At 42.8% G+C, this 23,789-nt stretch overlaps 1 protein-coding gene across 12 annotated transcripts in view, besides 1 other annotated feature; it reads right to left on the bottom strand.

Annotated features, from left to right (window-relative positions):
- NUBPL (NUBP iron-sulfur cluster assembly factor, mitochondrial) overlaps positions 1-23,789 on the bottom strand; it is a 299,821-nt gene that overhangs the window by 142,603 nt on the left and 133,429 nt on the right. Inside the window, exons 7-9 of one of the 12 annotated variants that reach the window (XR_007064050.1) lie at positions 22,868-22,931; positions 15,437-15,505; positions 13,805-14,572 (exon numbers count right to left, since the gene is read on the bottom strand). The exons of 9 other annotated variants lie outside the window; for them this stretch is intronic. Coding sequence is in view for 1 of the 3 variants with exons in the window: in XM_011537183.3 (XP_011535485.1) it covers positions 22,899-22,931 (33 nt within the window). In the remaining 2 variants the exon portion in view is untranslated. Of the gene's footprint in view, positions 1-3,818; positions 4,054-13,804; positions 15,506-22,867; positions 22,932-23,789 lie in introns of those variants that run through there. 2 more of the 12 variants (XM_011537183.3, NM_001201574.2) reach the window with 2 other exon arrangements.
- Positions 8,168-8,701: an enhancer, noted in NCBI's record as "NANOG hESC enhancer chr14:32179127-32179660 (GRCh37/hg19 assembly coordinates)". NCBI's record gives its function as "activates a minimal SCP1, AML or CMV promoter by ChIP-STARR-seq in naive H9 embryonic stem cells {active_cell/tissue: H9 hESC(naive)}" and the evidence as "EXISTENCE:reporter gene assay evidence [ECO:0000049][PMID:30033119]".

Below are 23,789 nucleotides of genomic sequence, written 5' to 3'. Positions count from 1 at the left end.
TGTAATAACTCCCCTCACTAAATGGAAAATTAATAGAATTTTTTTACTACAATTTTAATCACTTTGCTGTAAGATAGGCTGTACTTGTCTTAAGAAACCACATGTATATTAAAAATATAATCTTACACCAACATTTCTGGCCATATGACAGAATCTTATTCTGATCATTTTCCAGAAGGCAAAAAATAAAGGCCTGAGATTAAAAGCATTTTTCCATTTAGATGTTTAGAAACTTGGGTTTGATTTTCTTAACTAAGATTAGTTATATATTTTATTTCTATCTTTGCTATTAAAGCACACTGGCAGAAAGACAGTCTTTTCCCTGGGACACTTGTAAACAGCCCCAAGTCTAAGTAGCAGCAATTGTTCATTCAATAAATATAACAAAATTGACAGAGGTCAAACAGTGAGATAGCAGCAGATCTGGGACTAGGGCTGGATCTCCTGGCTTGAAATCTAATGTTCTTCTCTGACAAGATTATAGTTCTTAAAATATGTTTTCCGTGAAAGATAAAAAAAGAGAATATATTTTAGGATACCAGTTAGTGACTCTTGGAAAGCATCTTCTAGCTCTCAAACCCATAAATTGCCTTAGATGTTTTGGCTAACTACCACATACTACACAGTGGGTAAGAGTCACCAAAATAATCACTCCACAAACAAAAAGAATTTTGAATTCTGCAACAGCAATTAGCCACTAGTATCTTACTATGTTTCTGTGATCTGATGTCCATTTCCATGGAAACAGAAAAAAAAGTGAGAGGCAGCCAAGAGAAGAGATGTCAGAACTTGTCAGGTTCAGTAGTCGGGGCCGAAAGCTGAAAATACCATTTTTTTTTTTTAAACAAACACCATCAGCTGACTTCTGACACAAAATCGATTCTTGAGTTAGGCAATGTCAGCTTGCCTGGAGAAGCATAAAGCTAAGGAACAGGCTTGGGGTTGTTTTGGTAGTGGTGTTTCTTTTTAAGGCTTAGATTAAGAGTGAAGGAGCCACAAATTAAAAGCAAGCTTCAAAATTCTAAATTTCTAAAACACAGGAATGCAATAAAAACTGTCTGAAATGTCACAAAGTGAAGAGAAGAATTTCTTGCTATGATAGGGGAAAATGTGGGTCTACCACAGAGCACTGTCTGGAATGAATAGCAACCAGGTAGAGGTAGGGAAAAGAAGGCACAGGAAGCAGCATGTATAAAGGCCCTGAGACAAGAGAATGTGTGGCCCTTTCAACATGCTGCAGAACACAAGAGCACTTAATATGAAGTGAGAGGTTACCACACAAGGCTTTCCCAAAGGAGTAACATCTAAGCTAAGACATGAAGGATAAGATGGAGTTAGTTAAGAACAGGGTATTCCAGCAAGACAGGAAAGCAGGAGGGAAGGCCCAGAAGCAAGAGACAGCAAAGTGAATTCAGGAATATCAAACTGCTTAAGACAGCTGGAACAGAGAGTAGAAGTGGGAAAATGTGCCCTGATTAGATAAAGAAGGACCTTTTTCCTAGGTTAGATTTTGAACTTTTGTCCAAAAAACAAGGTGCCACAAAAGGGTATAAATCAGGAAAGTAACTTGATGAGATCTGAATTTTAGTAAGATTAGTCAGAATATCTCAGATTATATAGGAATATAGGTAAAGAGTCTGTTACAGCTTTCCCAAAAAACAGAAAAGGGTGGACATTGTAGGGAAGGATAGCAGCAGAGATGGGAGAAATGAACACCATAAGTACAAACAGTGGGAAAGAAAGAAGGATGAGTCAAGGGTGACACTCAGGATTTTAGCCTGAGCAGCTAGGTGGTTGGTAGTGTCAATCATTAAGTCTCTGTCACAAGAAAAGAAGGAAGACTTTCAGGTAGATGAGTGATGAATTCTAATCTGGACTTTGGGACTTTGAGATATCCATAGGACAGTCAAGCAGAGCTTTCCATTAGGCATTGCCCAGAATGAGCACAAAATCAGAAAAGGTTCCTAGAGATGAATTGCAGAGGTTTTAGACTCTGTTCAAATGTTGGCTGCACCATTTACTAATTACAGTTATGTGCAGAGAAGGATATTTTGGTCAATAATGGGCCACATAGGCAATGGTCCCTTAAGATTATAATGGAGCTGCTGAAAAATTCCTATTGCCTAGTGACATCATAGCTGTTGTAAAGTCATAACTGTCTTAACATCATAGCACAACAAATTACTCATAAGTGTGGTTATGCTGGTATAAACAAATCTACTGCACTGCCAGTCACATAAAAGTGTAACATATACAATTAGGTACAGTACATAATACTGGGTGATGGTGATGATGATAATAAAGGACCATGTCACTGGTTTATTTACTACAGTATACTTTTTATCATTACTATAGAGTGTATTCCTTCCCTTATTAAGAAAACAAAGTTACCTGTCAAACAGACTCAGGCAGGTCCTTCAAAAGGTATTCCAGAAGAAGGCATTGTTATCATAGGAAATGACAGCTTCATGCATGTTACTGTCCCTGAAGACCTTTCAGTGGGACAAGATGTGGAGGTGGAAGACAATGATACTGCTAATCCTGACCCATGTAGGCCTAGCCTAATATGAGTGTCTGTGTCTAAGTTTTTGACCAAAAAAAATTTTTTAAGTAAAAGAAAAAAAAATTTTAACAGAAAAAAAAAGCTTACAGAAAAAAGGATGTAAAGAAAGAAAATATTTCCGTACAGATGTATAATGTGTTTGTGGTATAAATATTATGAGTCAAAACGTTTTTTGCAACTTAAAAAGTTTATGAAGTAATAAAGTTACAGTAAGCTAAGGCAGATTTATAATTGAGAGAAAGAAAATTTTTTAAATAAATTTAGTGTAGCCTAAGTGTACAATGTTTATAAAGTCTACAGTAGTGTACAGCAATGTTCTAGGCAATCACATTCACTCACCACTCACTTACTGACTCACCCACAGCAACTTTCAGTCCTGCAAGCTCCATGCATGGTAAGTGCCCTACACAGGGGCACCATTTTTCATATTTTACACTGTATTTTTATTGTACCTTTCCTATGTTTAGGTATGTTCAGATACACAAATATTTACCATTGTGTTACAATTCCCTATAGTATTCAGTACAATAACATGCTGTTCAATTTTGTAGCCTAGGAGCAATAGGCTATGCCATATAGAGCCTAGGTGTGTGGTAGGCTATACTATCTAGGTTTGTGGAAGTACACTCTATGATGTTCGCACAATGACAAAATTGCCTATGGACAAATTTCTCAGAAAATATCCATGTTGTTAAGCAAAACATGACTGTACATGACCTTAGCTTATTTAGTTTCTAAGCCTATAAAAGTGGAATAATTATACCCATGTTAAGGACTGATATTTAAGAAATGAGCAGAGAAAAGGGAAACTATAAAGCAGAATGAGAAAGAGAGGATAAAAGGTAGACGCCACAAGAGAATGTAGTATTAGGGAAACTTTACGATCAGTAGATCAAATAGTATAAAGAGATCATTTAAAATAAGAATTGAAAAGTATATACAGGAATTTTTAAAGGCATCTCTGGTGACCCAACCCTGACTAAAGCATGGTAGAGCTGAATATAAACAGAAGTATATGGTAGATGAGGGAGTGAGAGACTGATTTAGTAAATTCTTTCGAAGAGTTTGGCTTAAGTGAGAAGAAAGTTTAGGCTGGTGTTTAGTGGAAGTCATAGAGTCAAGGCAGTGTTACTTATTTCTCGTTTGTTGTTTTTTAAAACTGGGAAAAACTTATACATCATAACTTAAGATGACTGCAGCTGCAAGTAACAGAAAACCTAACAATGCTTAAACTATTAGGGCATTTATTATTTACTTTTTTAAAAAGTCTGAAAGTAGACAACTCTGGGACTTTTTATTTGTGGTATGGTGTGGATGTTTCTCCCCTCCAAATCTCATGCTGAAATGTGATTCCCAATGTTGGAAGTGAGGCCTGATGGGAAGTGAGTGGATCACGCCAGCAGTTCCCTCATGAATGGCTCAGCACCATCCTCTTGGTGATAAGTGAGTTCTCGCTCGGTTAGTTCACGCAAGATCTGGTTGTTTAGAAGAATCTGGGGTCTCCCGCCTGTCTCTCTTCCTTCTGCTGTCACCATGTGCTGCGCCTGCTCCCCACCTTTGCCTTCCACCACGATTGTAAGCTTCCTGAGGCCCTCACCAGAAGCAGATGCTGGCACCATGCTTCTTTGTATGCCCTGCAGAACCATCAGCCAGTTAAACCTCTTTGCTTAAGAAATTACCCAGTTTCAGGTATTCCTTCACAGAGATGCAAAAAGACTAAGTTGTTGTTTTTTTTTCAAAGTCTCAGAGATATCATCAAAGGCCAAGGCTTTGGTCTTTCTATCTTCTTGTTCTGCCACAAAATGGCTACCACTGCCAAGTTGATCATGTCTTTATATTCCCTACAAAGAAAGAGGAAGAACAAAACCTGCCTTTCTATTAGGAAGCAAAACATCTTACATAGAGGCTATCTCCACAGACTGTTCCTTGTGTCTCATTGGTTAGAACTGGTTCACATGGCCACACTCAGCTCTAAGAGCAACTAGATTATCTTTTGACTTTCTAGACCTACTTTTAAGCAGTAAAGAGACAGGGGCTGGGAATAGTTTCTACATAGCCAATCAGTACTGTCTTCCACATGCATGTTTAAATGCTGATGGAAAAGAGTTAGTAAAGACTAAGAACCAGATACAGAAGGGAAGAGGGCAAGAATGAATTCAGATACAGATACATTTTTAAGGAGGCTGGCTGGTAATTGAGAAAGTTTGCACCATATAAATTTAATTTTCTTTGTGAAACAGAAAATGGAATCATGCATTAAAAGTAAAGGGAGAGGTAGAAGGACAGAGGTCTTCAGAATAACAAAGCAGATTTTAAATAGTTCCTACGGAGAATAAAAGAGAGGGCTGCCTAGAATAACAGGTTTCTAAGCAAGAGAGAAAAAAAATAGAAGAAAAATTTCCTACGGGTTGTTGAGCAAGGCTAGAAATCATTAATTCATAGTGCCATCCACATGCCACTTAAAAGGACATCTCTAGCAGCACCCAGCAGCCCAAGCGTAAGAATAGAGAAAGTCGAATGCTGAATCCATTCTAAACTGGAGTTTATGGGTTTAGAGTAAAAGGAATGTACCAATGGGTTTGTGGCACAACTGAAAGGGAAAGATACGAAGGAGCTGAAATTATCAGCAAGCCAGTGACATAATGTGCCATATATAAACATGTTAGGAAAAAAATGAAAGGTACAGAAAGAGTGAAACAGTCAAGGAATCTGACATATAATGGCCTTAATAAAAGAACTCAAAGACGAAAAACTATGGTAAGGTAATTAAGATGAATACTTCAAGGGGATAAAATTCCTGGTGTGCCATGAGAGTGGAGTTCAAGGGCACTCAAGTTGAGAAAGGGAAGAAACTAAAAAGGCTAGTGAAACCAACCCAGTAGTTTTTTAAAATAAATATAGAAATTGACCCTTCTGGTCTTAAAGCTTAAAACTAACGTTTGTCTTATTTAAGTTCCTTTCTCAGGAAATGATCCTCAGCCTTCTCAAAAAGTATCAAAGAACTGAAACTCACCAGATCACCACATCCAGACAATGAGATGGCAGACCCTTCATCCATCAGGTTGCTCCCTTACCCCTCCCTAATTCCTATGTTCCTAAGTGGTCACCTGCTTCTCGTTAACCAGTTCCTCTTCCTTACCCCTCCCTAGTTCCTGTTTTCCCACACATAATTACATTTCTTCCCTGCTATAATAAACCCCCAATTTTAGTTGGTCAAGGAGATGGATTTGAGACTGATCTCCCATTGTCTCAGCTGCTGCACGTGATTAAAGCCTTCTTCCCTGGCAATACTCATTCTCTCAGTGACTGGTTTTCTGTGCAGAGAGCCACAGGACCCAGACCAAACCCCTGATGTTTTGGTAACACTGGTGAGAGGTGACAACATGCTACCAGCCCTCACTCACTCTTGGTGCCCCCTTGGCCTCGGCATCCTCTCTGGCTGCACTCGAGGAGCGCTTCAGCCCGCCACTGTGCTGTGGGGGCCCCTCTCTGGGGCTGGCCGAGGCCGGAGCTGGCTCCCTCTGCTCGCAGGGAGGTGTGAAGGGAGAGGCATGGGTGGGAGCCAGGGCTGCGTGCCTCACTCACAGGCTGGCACAGGTTCTGGGTGGGCACGGCTCCACAGGCCCCGCACTGGGCGCAACCAGCCAGTGCCTGCTGGGCTTGATCAGGGGACGAACTCCCTCTGGGCTGCCAGAGTGCCGGGGCTAGGTGCTGCAAAGTCCTGCGGCGAGTACCATTGGTGAAGCCATCTGGGCTTCTGGGTTGGGTGGTGACCTGGAGAACTTTTCTGTCTAGCTAAAGGTTTGTAAATGCACCAATCAGCGCTCTGTGTCTAGCTAAAAGTTTGTAAATGCACCAATCAGTGCTCTGTCAAAACGGACCAATCAGCTCTCTGTAAAATGGACCAATCAGTAGGATGTGGGTGGGGCCAGATAAGGGAATAAAAGCAGGCCACCCCAGCCAGCAGCCAGCAACCCGCTCCGGGTCCCCTTCCATGCTGTGGAAGCTTTGTTCTTTTGCTCTTCACAATAAATCTTGCTGATGCTCATTCTTTGGGTCTGCACCACCTTTACGAGCTCTAACACTCACTGCGAAGGTCTTCAGCTTCACTCCTGAAGCCAGCGAGACCACGAACCCACTGGGAGGGATGAACAACTCCAGACGGGAGGAACAAACAACTCCGGATGTGCCATCTTTATGAACTGTAACACCCACCGCGAAGGTCTTCAGCTTCACTCCTGAGGCCAGCGAAACCATGAACCCACCGGAAGGAATGAACAACTCCAGACGCACTGCCTTTAAGAGCTGTAACACTCACCGCGAAGGTCTGCAACTTCACTCCTGAAGTCAGCAAGACCAAAAACCCACCAGAAGGAAGAAACTCTGGACACATCTGAACATCTGAAGGACCAAACTCTGGACACACCATCTTTAAGAACCGTAACACTCACCGTGAGGGTCTGCGGCTTCATTCTTGAAGTCTGCGAGACCAAGAACCCACCAATTCCAGACACATTTTTGCAACCACGAAGGGACTATCACCTATCGCCAAGCAGTAAGACTATCGCCTATTGCCAAGCAGTAAGACTATCACCTATCGCCGAGCGGTGAGTACCACTGGACCCCTTTTGCTTGCTATTCTGTCCTGTTTCTCCTTAGAATTCAGGGGCTAAATACCGGGCACCTGTCGGCCAGTTAAAAGCTACTAGCGCGGCAACCAGACTAAAGACACGGGTGTCAGGCTTTCTGGGAAGGGGCTCTCTAACATCCCCTGACTCTTTGGAGTTGGGAGCGTTGGTTTGCCTAGAACCAGCTTCCACTTTTCCTGTACTTCTGGGCCGAGCCAAGGGTCGACAGAGAGGAAAGCCATTCAGCTCCGGGGTCCGAACAACAAGTTGGTTGACCCTGTGGCCATGAGCGGAACCCTCAAAGGCATGTCGCCCAAGCGAGACTCACCCATCTATCCTATCTATCCTGACCCTTGCCTCCTGGGTCCTAATGCCTGTCAGACAAACTTCCCCTCACCTCTCTTCTCCGAGGTTAGTCCTGCTTCTAAAAATCACTCCCTGTCTCTGGTGCTTTTCTAGTTTCTCCTATAAGAATGATTTCTAGTATAAACTCCAGGACTCTATTTCCTTCTTTAGGCACCCAGGCTCACCAATCAGAAAGACATAATTTTTCCCAAAGCCCCATTGTAGGGGGAACTATCCGGAATTTTAGGATCCCTCCTCAGACAAGCAGGCCTAACAAAAGCTATTCCTGAAGCTAGGATATGGGGAGCCTCAGAAATTGTATCCTTCCTATTCATATAAGTGAAGACAAAAGGTGTCACTCTTCCAACCCTGGAGATCCCTTCCCTCCATCAGGGTATGGCCCTCCACTTCATTCTGGGGGCATAACATCTTTATAGGACACGGGTAAGGTTCCAGTACTAACAGGAGAATGTTTAGGACTCTAACAGGTTTTCGAGAATGCGTCTGTAACAGCCACTAAATCTGATTTTTCTCTGTCCTCCTTGTGGTCTAGGAGGACAGGAAAGGGTGCAGGTTTTCGAGAATGCGTCAGTAAGGGTCACTAAATCCGACCTTCCTTAGTCCTCCTTGTGGTCTGGGAGAAAAGCTAGTGTTTCTGCTGCTGCGTTGGTGAGCGCAACTATTCCGATCAGCAGGGTCCAGGGATTGTTGTGGGTTCTTGGGCAGGGGTTGTTTCTGCTGCTGCATCGGTGAGTGCAACTATTCCAATCAGCAGGGTCCAGGGACCATTGCAGGTTCTTGGGCAGGGGGAGAAACAAACAAACCAAATCTGCGGGCGGTTTTGTCATTCAGATAGGAAACACTCAGGCATCAACAGGCTCACCCTTGAAATGCATCCTAAGCCATTGGGACCAATTTGACCCATAAACCCTGAAAAAGAGGTGACACATTTTTTTTCTGTGCTACAGCCTGACCCCAATACTCTCTCTCTGATGGGGAAAAATGGCCACCTGAGGGAAGTACAAATTACAATACTATCCTGCAGCTTGACCTTTTCTGTAAGAGGGAAGGCAAATGGAGTGAAATAAGTTATGTCCAAGCTTTCTTTTCATTGAAGGAGAATACACAACTATGCAAAGCTTGCCATTTACATCCCACAGGAGGACCTATCAGCTTACCCCCATATCCTAGCCTCCCTATAGCTCCCCGTCCTATTAACGATAATCCTCCTCTAATCTCCCCTGCCCAGAAGGAAATATGCGAAGAAATCTCCAAAGGACAACAAAAACCCCTGGGCTATCGGTTATGTCCCCTTCAAGCTGTAGGGGGAGGGGAATTTGGCCCAACCTGGGTACATGTCCCCTTCTCCCTCTCTGATTTAAAGCAGATCAAGGCAGACCTGGGGAATTTTTCAGATGATCCTGATAGGTACATAAATGTCCTACAGGGTCTAGGACAAATCTTCTATCTCATTTGGAGAGATGTCATGCTATTGTTAGATCAAACCCTGGCCTTTAATGAAAAGAATGCAGCTTTAGCTGCAGCCCAAGAGTTTGGAGATACTTGGTATCTTAGTCAAGTAAATGACAGAATGACAGCTGAAGAAAGGGGCAAAATCCCTAACGGTCAGCAAGCTGTCCCCAGTATGGATCCCCACTGGGACCTTGACTCAGATCATGGGGACTGCAGTTGCAAACATCTGTTGACCTGTGTTCTAGAAGGACTAAGGAGAATTAGGAAAAAGTACATGAATTATTCAATGATGTCCACCATAACTCAGGGAAAGGAAGAAAATCCTTCTGCCTCCCTCGAGCGGCTATGGGAGGCCTTAAGAAAATATACTCCCCTGTCAACCAAATCACTTGAGGGTCAATTGATTCTAAAAGATAAGTTTATTACCCAATCAGCCACAGATATCAGGAGAAAGTTCCAAAAGCAAGCCCTGGGCCCTAAACAAAATTTGGAGACATTATTAAACCTGGCAACCTCAGTATTCTATAACAGGGACCAAGAGGAACAGGCCCAAAAGGAAAAGCAAGATCAGAGAAAGACCGCAGCCTTAGTCATGGCCCTCAGACAAACAAACCTTGGTGGTTCAGAGAGGACAGAAAATGGAGCAGGCCAATCACCCGGTAGGGCTTATCAGTGTGGTTTACTAGGACACTTTAAAAAAGATTGTCCAATGAGAAACAAGCCGCCCCCTCGTCCATGTCTGCTATGCCAAGGCAATCACTGGAAGGTGCACTGCCCCAGAGAACAAAGGTTCTCTGGGTCAGAGGCCCCCAACCAGATGATCCAACAACAGGACTGAGGGTGCCCGGAACAAGCGCCAGCTCATGTCATCACCCTCACTCAGCCCCAGGTACCTTTAACCATTGAGGGCCAGGAAATTGACTTCCTCCTAGACACTGGCGCAGCCTTCTCATTGTTAATCTCCTGTCCTGGACGACTGTCCTCAAGGTCCATTACCATCTGAGGAATCCTGGGACAGCCTGTAACCAGGTATTTCTCCCAACTCCTCAGTCGTAATTGGGAGACTTTCTCTTTTCACATGCCTTTCTTGTTATGCCTGAAAGTCCCACACCCTTATTAGAGAGGGATACATTAGCCAAAGCTGGAGCTATTATCTACATGAATATGGGGAACAAGTTACCCATTTGTTGTCCCCTACCTGAAGAGGGAATAAACCCTGAAGTCTGGGCATTGGAAGGACAATTTGGAAAAGCAAAAAATGCCCACCCAGTCCAAATCAGGCTAAAAGACCCCACCACTTTTCCTTATCAAAGGCAATATCCCTTAAGGCCTGAAGCTCATAAAGGATTAAAGGATATTGTTAAATATTTAAAAGCTCAAGCCTTAGTAAAGAAATGCAGCAGTCCCTGCAACAGCCCAATTCTAGGAGTACAAAAACCAAACAGTCAGTGGAGACTAGTCCAAGATCTTAGACTCATCAATGAGGCAGTAATTCCTCTATATCCAGTTGTACCCAACCCCTATATCCTGCTCTCTCAAATACCAGAGGAAGCAGAATGGTTCACTGTTCTGGACCTCAAGGATGCCTTCTTCTGTATTCCCCCGCACTCTGACTCCCAGTTTCTTTTTGCCTTTGAGGATCCCACAGACCACATGTCCCAACTTATGTGGACAGTCTTGCCCCAAGGGTTTAAGGATAGCCCTCATCTGTTTGGTCAGGCACTGGCCCAAGATCTAGGTTACTTCTCAAGTCCAGGCACTCTGGTCCTTCAGTACGTGGATGATTTACTTTTGGCTACCAGTTCAGAAGCCTCGTGCCAGCAAGCTACTCTAGATCTCTTGAACTTTCTAGCTAATCAAGGGTACAAGGTGTTTAGGCCGAAGGCCCAGCTTTTCCTATAGCAGGTCAAATATCTAGGTCTAATCTTAGCTAGAGGGACCAGGGCCCTCAGCAAGGAACATATACAGCCTATACTGGCTTATCCTCACCCTAAGACATTAAAACAGTTGCAAGGGTTCCCTGGAATCATCAGCGTTTGCTGACTATGGATCCCCGGACACAGCGAGATAGCCAGGCCCCTCTATACTCTAATCAAGGAGAGAACCAGAGAGACAAAAAGTCAAAGAAAGAAGTACAAAGAGAGGAAGAGACAGACAAAGAGGGAGTCAGAAAGAGAGAAAGAGAGAGACAAAGGAGAAGTCAAAGAGAAAGAAAGAGAGATGGAAGTAGTAAAGAAAAAACAGTGTACCCTATTCCTTTAAAAGCCAGGGTAAATTTAAAACCCACAATTGATAATTGAAGGTCTTCCCTGTAACCCTATAACAATCCAATACCACCTTGTTGTCAGTGTAAACAAGGGCATAGCCCGAAAGCACTGAGGCCACTGACAATCCGTAGCCTTCCTATCAAAAATTCTTAACCCAGCAGGTTTCCTAACAGGACATCTAAATCTTAATTACCATACAAAGGTCCGACCAGATCTAGGAGGAACTCCCTACAGGACAGGATGATAGATGGTTCCTCCCAGGCGATTAAGGAAAAAAAGACACAATGGGTATTCACTAAGAGAAAATGAAACTCTTATAGAAGCAGAGTTAAGAAAATTGCCTAATAATTGGTCTCCTCAAACGTGTGAGCTGTTTGCACTCAGCCAAACCTTAAAGTACTTACAGAATCAGGAAGGAGCCATCTATACCAATTTTAAGTTAATATGGACTGAATGAGGTCTTATTAACAGCAAAGAAAAACTAAAATCCCAAACTTACAAGGTTTTCAACTAAAGTAAGGTTTACTAAAAATTAACAGTGTAACATGTATTATCCTACTGCCACACACTCTCAAAGGATTTCTCAGACAATTTGCAGGAAGTGATGAAATCTATCCTTACTCTACAATCCCAAATAGACTCTTTGGCAGCAGTGACTCTCCAAAACCACCAAGGCCTAGACCTCCTCGCTGCTGAGAAAAGAGGACTCTGCACCTTCTTAGGGGAAGAGTGTTGTTTTTACACTAACCAGTAAGGGATAGTAGAAGATGCCACCCGGCATTTACAGGAAAAGGCTTCTGAAATCAGACAACGCCTTTCAAACTCTTATACCAACCTCTGGAGTTGGGCAACATGGCTTCTCCCCTTTCTAGGTCCCATGGCAGCCATCTTGCTGTTACTCACCTTTGGACCCTGTATTTTTAACCTTCTTGTCAAATTTGTTTCCTCTAGAATTGAGGCCATCAAGCTCAACTGATGATCTTACAAATGGAACCCCAAATGAGCTCAACTAACAACTTCTACCGAGGACCCCTGGACCGATCCGCTGGCCCTTCCACTGGCCTAAAGAGCTCCCCTCTGGAGGACACTATAACTGCAGGGCCCCTTCTTTGCCCCTATCCAGCAGGAAGTAGCTAGAGTGGTCATCGGCCAAATTCCCAACAGCAGTTGGGGTGTCCTGTTTAGAGGGGGGATTGAGAGGTGACAATGTGCTAGCAGCCCTTGCTCACTCTTGGCATCTCCTCAGCCTCGGTGTCCACTCTGGCTGTGCTCGAGGAGCCCTTCAGCCTGCCGATGCGCTATGGGGGCCCCTACCTGGGGCTGGCCAAGACCAGAGCTGACTCCCTCTGCTTGTGGGGAGGTGTGGAGGGAGAGGCACGGGTGGGAGCTGGGGCTTCGTGCAGCACTCGCAGGCCAGTGCGGGTTCCAGGTGAGCACAGGCTCGGCAGGCCCTGCACTGGGCATGGCCAGCCAGCACCTGCTGGGCTTGATCGGGGGATGTGCTCCTTCTGGGCTGCCAGAGTGCCCGGGCTAGGTGGTGCAAAGTCCCACGGCGACTGCCATTGAGAGGTGAAGCCGTCTGGGCTTCTGGGTCAGGTGGGGACCTGGAGAATTTTTCTGTCTAGCTAAAGGTTTGTAAATGCACCAATCAGCACTCTGTGTCTAGCTAGAGGTTTGTAAATGCACCAATCAGCACTCTGTGTCTAGCTAAAGGTTTGTAAACGCACCAATCAGCACTCTGTGTCTAGCTAATTGGGTAGGGGACTTGGAGAACTTTTGTGTCTTGCTAAAGGATTGTAAATGCACCAATCAGCACTCTGTGTCTAGCCAAAGGTTTGTAAATGCACCAATCAGCACTCTGTCAAAACGGACCAATCAGCTCTCTATAAAATGGACCAATCAGCTCTCTGTAAAATGGACCAATCAGTAGGATGTGGGTGAGGCTAGATAAGGGATTAAAAGCAGGCCACCCCAGCCAGCAGCCGGCGACCCGCTCGGTTCCCCTTCCACGCTGTGGAAGCTTTGTTCTTTCACTCTTCACAATAAATCTTGCTGATGCTCACTCTGGGTCTGCACCGCCTTTATGAGCTGTAACACTCACCATGAAGGTCTGCAGCTTCACTCCTGAAGGCAGTGAGACCATGAACCCACCAGGAGGGACGAACAACTCCGGATGAGAGTAACAAACAACTCCGGACGCGCCACCTTTATGAACTGTAACACTCACCACAAAGGTCTGCAGCTTCACTCCTGAGGCCAGTGAGACCACGAACCCACTGGAAGGAATAAACAGCTCCAGACACACTGCCTTTAAGAGCTGTAACACTCACCGCGAAGGTCTGCAGTTTCACTCCTGAAGTCAGCGAGACCACAAACCCACCAGAAGGAAGAAACTCCGGACACATCTGAACATCTGAAGGAACAAACTCCGGACATACCATCTTTAAGAACTGTAACACTCAGCACAAGGGTCCGCGGCTTCATTCTTGAAGTCAGCGAGACCAAGAACCCACCAATTCCAGACACACTGGGATGTTAAAGTTTATTGTCTATGTGAACTCTGAAGTTATCCAAGGTGGTGGGTAGAACTAGAGGGAACAGGAAGTGCCAACATCTTTAACAAGTGAGAAAAAAAGTGAACAAAGAAGAGAATGAGAGAAGGATTACACTTTTTTTTTTTTAAGATGGAGTTTTGCTCTTGTTGCCTAGAGCTGGAGTGCAGTGGCATGATCTTGGCTCACAGCAACCTCCGCCTCCCAGGTTCAAGCGATTCTCCTGTCTCAGCCTCCTGAGTAGCTGGGATTACAGGCATGCACCACCATGCCTGGCTAATTTTGTATTTTTAGTAGAGACGGGGTCTCTCCATGTTGCTCAGGCTGGTCTCAAACTCCCGACCTCAGGTGATCTGCCCACCTTGGCCTCCCAATGTGCTGGGATTACAGGCGTGGGCCACCATGCCTGGCCAATTATACTTTCAGTAACTATGACTATCAGAAAGAATATAAGTATAAAAATCCTCAGTGAGAGATACTGTTCTCTCAATACCCAAGAGGCAGGCTTCTAAAGGGGACCCCTAGAATGTCCATCAGTGGGACAGGAAGAAGGCAAAATCCTGCCCCTGTCTCCCTTGGACCTGGATAGATACTGCTTTTACCACCCAAAGAGTCACCCTCCTGCCCTGAGAGCTAGCAAGAGGCCAATACTCACAGAACCAACACCACCCCTCTGTCAGCAGAAAGCAGTTACAGAAGACTGATCTTCATCCATTTTTCCTCAAAGATTTGTGGTCTTGGGCTCTTGAGGAGGGAAATGTTACAGGTAGTTAGACCGGCATGAGCAAGGCAGGAGAGGGCTCTTCTCGCCGACCCAGTAGGAATGTCAGGTGGTGGCTGGACAATTATCATACTGCTTCTCTAAAAATGATAATTTGGCAGCTGTGCCAGGCAGAGACAATCTCCTGTTGATCCACAGCTGTTAAAGTGTTAATTAAATGCAGGCACCAAGGAGAAGCAAAAAAGGCTTCCAATAAAATCTCAGGTATTGGGCGATTGAGCCCAGGCATGCAAATTGATATGGCTTGGCTCTGTGTCCCCGCCCAAATCTCATCTTGTAGCTCCCATAATTCCCATATGTTGTGGGAGAGACCCAGTGGGAGATAACTGAATCACGGGAGTGGGTCTTTCCCATGCTGTTCTCAAGACAGTGAATAAGTCTCACAAGATCTGATGGTTTTAAAATTGGGAGTTTCCCTGCACAAGCTCTCTGTCTGCGGCCATCCATGTAAGAGGTAACTTGCTCCTCCTTGCCTTCTGCCATGATTGTGAGGCCTCCCCAGGCATGTGGATCTGTAAGTTTCTCCCCAGTCTCAGGTACATCTTTATCAGCAGTGTGAAAACAGACTAATACACACATTAAGAGGCAAAATGGTGGATTATGACCTTACTGGGGCACTCCACCAGAAAAGGAAAGAAAGCCTCAGATGGGCATGTGTACAATTTCCCAAACACACTGTGTGTGCTCAATTCCCAAGGGTAAGAAGGGCACTATGGATGCAGGCAGCCCACCCTAAGGGAAGAATCACGAGAAAGGGGCACGAGATGCCAGTTTATAAAGTCCTAGGATCATGGTTAAACAGGGCACTTATTCTTCAAGTTGCTCACTTGGCTCTCTTCCAAATGCACTTTCCTTTCTTTCCTCCTGCTCTAAAGCTTTTTAACAAACTTCTCCTCCTGCAAAAAGAATATAAGAATATAAGTATTAGAGTAGAAGCTGCCCTAGCAAATAAGGAATATGCCAAATCTTACCCTAAATCTCTAGTAGACAGTGAGTCAAAAAACAAGCTCTACTTAAGACTTCATTAAAAGCACTGTCTGCAGGGAATCACAGTTTTTAGTTAAAGATATTAAAGAGAATTTATGTAGTACAAAATTGGGCACCAGAAGCACCAAACAAAAATTGGGGAAGAAAAGGAAGAAATGTTTAGGTTTAGGAGAATGGAAGTCCTAAACAGCATAAAGATGAAAATTTTTTCTTTTTAATGACCAGAGAGGCTAATATTTGGGCACTTACCAAGAGTGACAGGAATGTGGGGTATAACAGAATTAGTAGACCTCAAAGTATTTTTTAAAAAACCATCCTAGTAGCCTCTCTGGCTGGAGAATATTATAGTCAGAGTCAATTGTACTTTCAAGGAATTCTGAGTTTTAATTACTAGAAAGTTTCAGTTGCAGTATGTCATAGCTACTAGGTTAATATCCAAATTTAGCTTTACACATACATTCATTTTGGAAACCAGTATTATTCACATTATTTCTGTAAAGAATTTAACCTTGCCCCAAAAGGCCCCAAGATAATTTGTCTTTGACCTCAGCTTCTAGGATGTAATCTCTAAGGTCTCTGCTCATGGGCCTTGAGCTAGCCATGTAGTAATAATGTGATTTAGAGTGGGGGCTTTGGGTCATGACTGGAGGGACAGGAGACAAAAGAATGAGATCAGCCATATGGACAATCAATCATGCCCCTATCACGGAGCCCCAATAAAAACTCTGAACATCAAGGCTCACATGAGCTTCCCTGGTTGGCAATGCTACACCCGTATTATCATACATCAATGCCAGGAGACTAACAGACTGATTCTGAGGGGAAAAGACAACAGAGGCTCTGCATTTGATAACTCCCCAGACTCCACCTTATGCACTTCTTCCCTTGGCTGATTTTAATATGTACTCTTTTCCTGTAATAAACTATAAGTGTGAGTATAACATCTTTCAGTGAGTTGAGTCCTTCTAACAAATTATTGAACTTAAGGGTGATCTTGGGAACCCCTACACTTGCAGTCAATGTCAAAAGTAAGGGCAGTCTCATGGGGACTATGCTCTTTAACACCATTATTTGACCTAAACTATTCACATATTGCAAAGGGTTCTCTCTAAATCTATTTGTTCACAGGGAATAAAAATGATTTGAAAGTAATCCAATACTTGACATTAGGTGAAACTATTGTGTCTGGAATTGGTGGGTTCTCGGTCTCACTGACTTCAAGAATGAAGCCGCGGACCCTCGCAGTGAGTGTTAAAGTTCTTAAAGATGGTGTGTCCAAAGTTTCTTCTTACTGGTGGGTTCGTGGTCTCGCTGACTTCAGGAGTGAAGCTACAGACCTTCACAGTGAGTGTTACAGCTCTTAAAGGTGGCACACCTGGAGTTGTTCATTCCTTCCAGTGGGTTTGTGGTCTCGCTGGCTTCAGGAGTGAAGCTGCAGACCTTCGCAGTGAGTGTTACAGCTCATAAAGGCGGCGCGGACCCAAAGAGTGAACAGCAGCAAGATTTATTGCGAAGAGCGAAAGAACAAAGCTTCCACATGCGGAAGGGGACCCAAGTGGGTTGCCGCTGCTGGCTTGGGCAGCCTGCTTTTATTCCCTTATCTGACCCCACCCACATCCTGCTGATTGGTCCATTTTACAGACAGCTGATTGGTCCATTTTGACAGGGTGCTGACTGGTGCGTTTACGATCCCTGAGCTAGACACAGAGTGCTGACTGGTGCATTTACAATTCTCTAGCTAGACATAAAAGTTCTCCAAGTCCCCACTAGATGAGCTAGATACAGAGCACTGACTGGTGCATTTACAAACCTTCAGCTAGACACAGAGTGCTGACTGGTGCATTTACAATCCTCTAGCTAGACATAAAAGTTCTCCAAGTCCCCACCAGATTAGCTAGATACAGAGTGCTGACTGGTGCATCCACAAACCCCGAGCTAGACACAGAGTGCTGACTGGTGCACATACAATCCTCCAGCTAGACATAAAAGTTCTCCAAGTCCCCAGCCGGCTCAGGAGCCCAGCTGGCTTTGTCTAGTGGATCCTGTGCTGGGGCCATAGATGGAGCTGCCCGCCAGTCCCGCGCCGCGCACCTGCACTCCTCAGCCCTTGGGCGGTCGATGGGACCGGGAGCCCTGGAGCAGGGGGCAGCACCCGTCGGGGAGGCTCAGGCCGTGAGGGAACCCACGGTGGTGGGGGGGAGGGGGCTGGGGCATGGCAGGCTGCAGGTCCTGAGCCCTGCCCTGTGGAGGGGCGGCTGAGGCCCGGCAAGAATTCAAGTGCAGTGCAGGCAGGCCGGCAGTGCTGGAGGACCCAGCGCACCCTCCACAGCTGCTGGCCCAGGTGCTAAGCCCCTCACTGCCCGGGGCCAGTGGCACTGGCCGGCCGCTCGAAGTGCAGGGCCCGCCGAGCCTGCGCCCACCCGGAACTCGCGCTGGCCTGCAAGGGCCACATGCAACCTCGGTTCCCACCCACACCTCTCCCTCCACACCTCCCCGCAAGCAGAGGGAGCCGGCTGCAGCCTTGGCCAGCCCAGAGAGGGGCTCCCACAGTGCAGCAGTGGGCTGAAGGGCTCCTCAAGCATGGCCAGAGTAGGCGCTGAGGCCGAGAAGGCACCGAGAGCAAGCGAGGGCTGCCAGCACGCTGTCACCTCTCACTACTACTGAAGAGTAACTAGTCTACTGAACTACTAATGGCCATCTGCTTCCACAAATCCCTCTTAACAGTGTAGAAGTATCAACAATTAACCACTAAGAAAAGAGCTGTTGGGTTTTAATCTGGATAATACAGACATTTACTGTGTCGCTGGACAGAAACTTATTTCCCTTTACTGAATAATAACTTGTTCTGGGTAACTGGGAAATGCCATTGTACCTCAGTGAAATGTAATTAAGCCCAAATAATGAATACTGTATAACAATTTTAATTCAATTTTTAAGTTTTACCTTATTTTAATTGACAAATAATAACTGCACAGTATATTTATGTGGTGCAATGTGATGTTTGGATACATGCTGACATGGCAGAATGATGAAATCAAGCAACTAACATACTCATCACCTCACATACTTAACATTTTAAAATTTCATTATGGTAAGAACATTTAAAATCTAATCCTACAGTTACTATACTTAATAAATGAATTATATTACTGCAGTTATTGACATCACAACATAGAAGAGTATCAAACTTCTCATTGCCAAACACTACTAAAAAGACTTTATAACAGGTCTCCATATAAACTTCACAAAAATATATTTCAGAGTAAAGATATTTACAGATACATTCACTCAGAAATGTCTTATAAAATACAACGTATAAAATACAAAACTTGTAGCTGAATGAGAACTTGGGAAACAAAAGAATACTCTTAATATTTTGTCAATTAGCGTTTCAGGGATGACATTAAAAAGAGTGTTTTCAATCTTTCAAGCAAAAATTTAAAATTTTAAAACTTCAGTTGTACAGTTTAGTTAAAAGCTGAGCCAAGAGAATCAGAGAGATTACAAGTAGGACCCTGCCCAAGTTATTTAACCTCATTGTGCCTCAGTTTCATCATTTGTAAAAATAATAGTAATAGTACATTATATAGAATTGTGTGATTTAAATGTGAATGCAGATAAACAGTATAAGTCTTAGCAGATAATAAATACCTAATAATAGGTAGCTACTTTTAGTAAAATATTATTGTCTAGGGATAATATATCAATTCAACCTATTTAATTTGATGCTTTCTGCATTCAGATAATTAATACACCACATTTAGATGCTACCAAAATAAACTAACTATAAAAGTCTAATATATTTGTTGCTACAGACATATAGGCCTACCCTAAACAAAAAATATTTTTAAAAGATATTTAAGTCATTATGGGCCAGGCACAGTGGCTCATGCCTGTAATCCCAGCACTTTGGGAGGCCAAGGCAGGTGGATTCCTTGAGATCAAGAGTTCAAGACAAGCCTGACCAACATGGCGAAATGCCATCTCTACTAAAAATACAGAAATTAGCCAGGCATGGTGGTGCATGCCTGTAGTCTCAGCTACTCGGGAGGCTGAGGCAGGAGAATTGCTTGAACCCAGGAGGCGGAGGTTGCAGTGAGCCGAGATCGTGCCACTGCACTCCAGCCTGGGTGACAAAGCGAGACTCTGTCTTAAAAAAAAAAAAAAAAGTGTAAGTCACTATTGAGTCACTTCTTTTGGTGGACTTTCCATCAACACCACATTAATAATAATACGAAAAATAAGTAGTGAACACAGACACATGCCTATGAAGGCAAATAGTATAGAAATTTTTTTCAAACTATGAATGATCACATAGCACTGGCTTAAAAAAAATCAGTAAGTAAATGTTCGCAGTAGCCAAAAGAATCTATAGGACAGGTTTCGTGCCTTTTTTATTTATAACAATATCCCTAACATCTAACTACTGAAAAAATGAATAAAGCCAGAGGGTAGCTTGCTTTAAAAAGTAGCAAGGAGACACTGATGGTCTCTGAAATTACTGACATGAGAGTTATGCTTTGGGAAGAATCATCTGGCAATCTCTGGTAAGTGATGGGGGGAAAATAAAGTCAGTGATGAGGGCATAAAAGAGGATGTTACTAAAACAAGTTACCAAAACTGCCGCCATCAGTTTAAAATAGTCTTTCAACACTTAAAAAAAAAAAAAGACCAAAATGAATGACGTAGAATCGCTCTGCAGCAATGACGGCAAAGATGGGAATACAATTCAATCAGTATTAAAATAATTATAAGGAAAACATTGACTATATCTCGTCATATCTAAAACACCATAGATTGGAAGATACACCATTATTTTATATACAACCAAGAAAGAAAACAATGCTAAATATTAAACTGACACAATGCCAAGATGTTACTGATTATAAAATACTCTCCAATTTCAGAGATATTAAAATTTGAAAAATACGTAACTTAAAGTCAATGAAATACAGTATATACCTAAATAGTAAAAAGAGGTCATAATCTCCAGTACTGGAAGTCCCCAATAATATTTATTACTCTTCTCATCGCCTGCTTGGGATCTGTTCAAGTCTTCCTGGAGCTTAAATAGCCCCAGTAGGCTTTTGACATCTGACTCTGATCCCATGATCCCCGACTGCACCAAAAGAGATAGGGTAAGTCCTTACCTGTTCAACAGGGGCCACTACTCTAAGAAGCTCTCCTAAAGGCTCAGCAAGTCATCTCATGTGACCTTTATTAAGGCTTCTTAATTATCACTGCAGAAGACAAGACTCTTATGTTTTATAATTACCCTCATCCTAACTCAGTTCAAATCACTGTAGGTTATTCTTCAAAGTCTGCATCATGGAAAATGGAGAGATTTTTCTCTTTAACTCTGCTGGTCAGAGATGAAGTCATGCCTTTCCAGTTTTCAATGCTGTATATTTAATCTGCAACAAAAATGTTAAGCCCTAACAGCCTTTTCATATTTTTGTTTGTCACCTTGGCATTGCAGAATAAATATTGATTAACACAAAATTTTAAGTCTGCATTGAACAACAGATAGAGTAAAAAAGGCATGCTTCTGGAAGTGTTTAAGGTAGAAATAGGACATTGTAAAGGTGGTAATTAGCCTCCTTTTAATTTATTTATTTTCAAAAGCAAATTACTTCAGCCTCACTATTTTTTGTTGCTAATAAACTGTGTCTGATATCTTTCATTCCCCTTTGATCAATATATTTCACTGGCTTGGCACATTTTTCTAATAGTGCTTCCTTTTGCTCTAATTTTGATTGTTGGCTTTCAATTGAATAAGACTGTGCCATTTTATCTCTTATAAACAAGCCAGCTTTCTGCATGCTTCCTACTTTTGTCAGAGCTACAGTTAGAGCCTACCCTTAACATGAACTGTTCCAGGACCTCTATTTCATTACTTTCCTCTGGTAGATACACAAAGAAGGAAATGAGAAAAGTTTATCTGTCTGGTCAGAACAAAAGACGACCCAAACATCTTTGCTTTATATTTGAAACACTGGTCAAATTTAAACTACAATGATGGCTTCAATTTCATAGTACCTTTATGTCCTTTCTCTTTCTTGTTACTTCCTTTCCTGTTCTCTTTTCAGATTCAGGCCTGGAGTTAGACAAGACACTCCGTTTTTCTCTTATATTTTTACTTCTTTAGTTAGAAGCCAGAAAAATCAGAAATGAAATCTGTTGTTAAACTTTTATGTTTGTATTTAAACAGTCAAATTATACCCCCAATTCTATGTTCTGAAGGTTTCTAATTCTCTAATGTTCACTTAGTGAGAATGAGAAATTAATATGAATGGACAGAATCAGGGAAAGGTCTACCTCTCTCTTTAGGGAGCATTTGAATCAATGACAGGAAAGTAAAATTGGTAACCTGAGCCCACAGCTTCAATCATTTTCAGAGCCTGAGTTAGTCTACAAATGGGTTGAGAACACGTTTTTTTTTCACTCAGGCGAAAAGTCATTTCCAAAGTAAACAAAGACTTTAAACTGGGAATTAAGGGCAAGATCAGGGATGAGGAAGTTAATACCATATTGAAAAGTTCTAAGGAAGAAGGCCATGTAACGAGATAAAGAAGCATAACCTTGACAAAGGAGAGAGCCACTGTGAGGAAATAGCTAGTGATATAACGAATGGGAGAACAAGAGATGACATGCTAGCATCCAGAACAGTGCAAGATGTGTCTGCAAGACCTAAAGCCTAAAGAAGGAATTCATGGCCAAGAACAGTAAAGTACCTTCCTCTTCCAAAGATGACAGAACTAGAGTTGACCCAAGAAGACTGATCAATAATATAGAGCAGAATATAATCTAGCTCAGCTATATATAACCAGAAGGCTGCAGCAGGAGATCTTCCCTGGGTGTTGGGTTAGAAAAATACTCCAAGAGCCAGGTCCCTCCCAGCTTTTCAAATTGCTACAATTCAAAACTACACAGCACAAGCAGTGAAATATCAGTGGCTGATACTTTAAAACAGTAACTCCCCTCCTTATTTTATACTTTGGTTACTTTATTTATATTGCTTTCTTGATAAAATTACCCATTTAAAGCATCAGATCACTACGTAATTTTATCAAGTGAAAAGTGTCTCTATACCTGCATTACTAGAAACCAAAAAATAAAAGTAAATTAGTGAAGTAATAACAGTGACCAAATCTACTACAGCACTTGAGAAATTTGGCACAAATGACTCAGGCGGTGTTTTAGTCTGTTTTCTGTTGCTATAACTGAATACCACAGACTGGGTAATTTATAAAGAATAGAGTTTTATTTACCTCATGGTTCTGGAGGCTAGGAAGTCCAAGGTCAAGATACCAGCATCTTGTGAGGGCCTTTGTGCTGCATGATTCCATTAAGAAAGGACGAGTAAGCAATGCAAAAGAGAAAGCACAAGCGGCCAGGCTCACTATACAACAATACACTCTTGTAATAACTAACCCATTCCCATGATAACATTAATTCATTCATGAGGACTCAGCCCTTCACGACCCCAACACCTGTCATTAGGCCCCACCTCCCAACACTGCCTGGTTGAGGACCAAGTTTCAACATGAGATTTGGAGGTGACCAACACCCAAACCATAGTGAGTGGGAAACTGGGAACAGTTGGTGCCAATCTAAAAAGTTGCAGTAATTTTTGGTCTTAGATAGCTCCAGTAGCAACATTTAAAAAAAAAAAAAAAAGGAACACTACAATACTCAAAAACTGCATATATAAGTACTCATCATCACAGTGAGTTGTAGGTACACATGTAAGTCATCTGACAACAGAAAAAGAAGGACATTTTAAGTAGAAGGAAATAACCAGCAATTAATATTCATAGGCTGTTTCTAACTCCTTCTAACAACTTGTTCTCTTTCAATGCTGACTAACAGGGTTTGCGCTATGACATGGACCTTAAATGAGACTGCAAACTTTTATACTGTGTAACACTATTACCAACCTGATGGTCAACACTATGTAACACTCAGCCTTGTTCTCTAAATTCCAACTTTGATTGCCTTAAATAAAACATTGCACAACAGTATTTTTTAAATCATCAAAACTTCTAGCATATCTATATTTCTTGCTTATTATTACAAGTCAAAAGTAGATCTGTAACTAAAGGCTTTATTTAACATTTTGAACTCTGGATCTATGTCTTATACAACTGTGTAACCTCAACATCTAACCAATGGCCCAAACATAGTAAATAG

Source organism: Homo sapiens, chromosome 14 (assembly GCF_000001405.40).
Source record: "Homo sapiens chromosome 14, GRCh38.p14 Primary Assembly".
NCBI lineage: Eukaryota > Metazoa > Chordata > Mammalia > Primates > Hominidae > Homo > Homo sapiens.
Note: the sequence above shows the minus strand (reverse complement) of the source record. Positions and strands in the feature narration are given on the sequence as shown.